The 2,933-nt window shown below is 39.8% G+C and overlaps 1 annotated feature.

Moving 5' to 3' along the window:
• Nucleotides 334–534: a silencer, noted in NCBI's record as "peak6993 fragment used in MPRA reporter construct". NCBI's record gives its function as "represses an SCP1 promoter by STARR-seq MPRAs in K562 erythroleukemia cells {active_cell/tissue: K562}" and the evidence as "EXISTENCE:reporter gene assay evidence [ECO:0000049][PMID:32103011]".

The following is a 2,933-nucleotide window of genomic DNA, read 5'->3' on the forward strand; positions in this document are numbered from 1 at the left end:
TCTTCTGAAGCTTTTTCCTTGGCTTGTCTATGGTTACCTCTCACTGGATCTTCAAATGGTCTTCTCTTTCTGTGTGTTTCCATCTTCTAATCTCCTCTTCTTAGAGACGCCAGTCACATTGTATTAGGACCACCTATATAACCTCATTTCATCTTTGTCACCTCTTTAAAGGTCTATTTTCAACAACAGGCAAATTTTGAGGTACTGGGGGTTAGGATTTCAACACATGAATTTTGGGGGAACACAATTTAACACCTAATTGTGTTTCTCATTTTTCTTTCTCTTTGCTTACTCAGCTACTTTTCTTCTATTCTTTCCTATTTTGTTTTTATAACTTATATTCTTATGTTGGTCTCTATCTTGCAGATCCACCCCCTTTGCAGGCCTCAGGGACACTACTTTCCTGGGTCACTCCTCCTTCCAAGCATCCCAGCAAACAACCAAACCCTGTGGCTTTTTGTCTTGAGACTGAAGAGGGAAGTTGGGAGATAAGATGAGACAGCAATCATGTACGTCCACTCCATCATGAACCAGATCCCAGGAAGTCTTCTGTGGCCAATCTACTGTTACAGCCAATAACAGGAAAGGAGGCAGAAAGACCAGCCTGCCAAATTTTGATCTTTGCGTTCATTTCCATAAAGAATTAGATGTGTACTATCAACTTTGTTCATTTTAAATTTGCTGCTGACTCTTCACATTTAATAACTGAGCAGAAATACATCTATTCTGCTTTCAAGTCTACTATCTTTACAAGAGAAATTGTTATTGATCTAATCAATTACCTGCCGAAACACTGCACGGTGATGCTGAACCATAGGCTTCACACTAGGTAGCCAGAGAGTCCCAGAGAAGTTATCCATGTTTTCCTTACTTAGAGGTGCAGGGAGACTGACAGTCAGTTCCCAAATATCCCTTTCTGCTCTAGGAAGTTTGACCCCCATTCTCTTGCTTCAAGTGTTTACTGAATCTGAGCCTTCATTCTCTTTTTAAATCTAGAGTACAAGAGAAATACCACTGCTCTGGAGACATACTGTGATGTGTCGAGTTAGTTCTGAGTTTCCCAGGAGGCAGAGAAAGCCTCTGTTTAGGGCACCCTGCAAACCAGGAACACCAAAAAGATGTTCGAAAGGTTTTTATGTTTATTAATTATATATATATTTTAAGTCATTGTTTTTCCTTTCTGTCCTGTGAACAATGACATATTTTGTAAAAGCATCAGATGAGTCATCTTTGGGAAAAAAATAAGATCTTTATTAGACTTCTTTCTTTTACTTTACATCTTGGTATTATTATTTTGTAATTTCGAATTAAACATGTGAAAAGAATGGGCACAGCCTAAGATTTTTAGTGCCACTCTTTCTGTCTTAGTTCAACTTGCTTTATATTTAAAGTGCAATTCTAAATGATAAATTCTTTATTTTAAACAAACTTGAATGGAACCAGTATTTTAACTGGTCTTGAATAGATTTAGTTTTTAGAAGGCACTGAATTTAAGACATCAATAAAAAATGTGATTCAGAATATTCACTGGTTCTGGGCTTGCAGTGTTTTTGTTCCTTTGTAAGTTGTATATACATTTTTAAACTCTCTTAAATTCTTACCTATTGGTGTGTCTCTAAGTATTTCTTTCATGTAAACTAATCCAACAGGAATTTCTAAGAGGGACAGCTCAATCCTTGGCCTAACCCCAACTGCAGACTTCAGCTCCATCGAGAAACTAAGACAAACCTTCTTCCCATTGGGGGGAATTTAAAGAACTCTAGGTTAAGAGAAACAGCAACAACAAAAATATCCAGTTAGCCTCTTTGCCCTTCTTAGTCTCAAGATCCAGTAACTGAATCCTGGTATTGGTGAACTTCCCAGTCCCTAGGGCATTGTAGCCTTTCTCCCACTCTTCCTAAAGAACTTCCTTTCAGTTCCTGCAGTACAATGGCTTTTCACCACAGATGTTCATTCCACCTAAAGACAACACTGGGAGGAGATTTGTAGCAGATATTAACCCATTTTTCTAAGTATTTTCTACCAGTTCTACCAATGAGAAAATTAAAGCTCAGTGACTTTTCCAAGGTCCCATGTCTTAAAGCCAGATCTTCTGATTTGGCCTATAGATACTGTGCTCACCTCTGCTTCACACCATCGCCTTCTAGATAGTGTGCTTCCATGTTCCACAACAAATTTTGACACCCAAATCAGAAAATTTTAAATGGGATTTAGTCACCCTGGGTTATTCAAGAGCAAAAATTAGAAACATAGGTCAAAGAATCTGATCCAGACCAATCTATTCTGAGTCAACTTTTGACTCTCTGGGTGACTGTGGGCCCATCCCTTAACCTCCAGGACTCAGTTTCCTCATTTCTAAAATCAGGGAGGTGTTCACACAGTGCTGCTCAAAGTGTGGCCGGCTGTCCTGTGAATACACTTCACCTGGGAACTTGTTCCAATGTAAGATCTCAGGCCTCACCTCAGACCTCCTGAATCAGATACTCTGGAGAATGGGACCAACATCTATGCTTTATACAGCCTTCCAAGTAATTTTGATACACACTAGAGTCTGCATGTGTAAAACACTGATAGAGACCAGGGTTCAGAAAACTGCAGCTCTCAAGCTACCTATTTTTGGAAATAAAGTTTCATTGGAACACAGCCGTACTCATTGTTTATGTACCGTCTGTGTATGCTTTTGCACTCCATTGGTGATGTTGAGTAGTTGGGGCCAGGTGCAGTGGCTCAGGCCTGTAATCCCAGCACTGTGGAGGCTGAGGTGGGAGGATCACTTAAGCCCAAGAGTTGGAAGCTGCAGTGAGCTGTGAACACACCACTGCACTCCAGCCAGGGTGATAGAACAAAACCCTATTTCAATTAAAAAAAGAGATATATATGGCCCCTAGAGCCTAAATGTCTACTATCTGGCCCTTTGCAAAAAATGTTTGGCA

This window comes from Homo sapiens, chromosome 8 (assembly GCF_000001405.40).
Source record: "Homo sapiens chromosome 8, GRCh38.p14 Primary Assembly".
NCBI classification, from domain to species: Eukaryota; Metazoa; Chordata; class Mammalia; order Primates; family Hominidae; genus Homo; species Homo sapiens.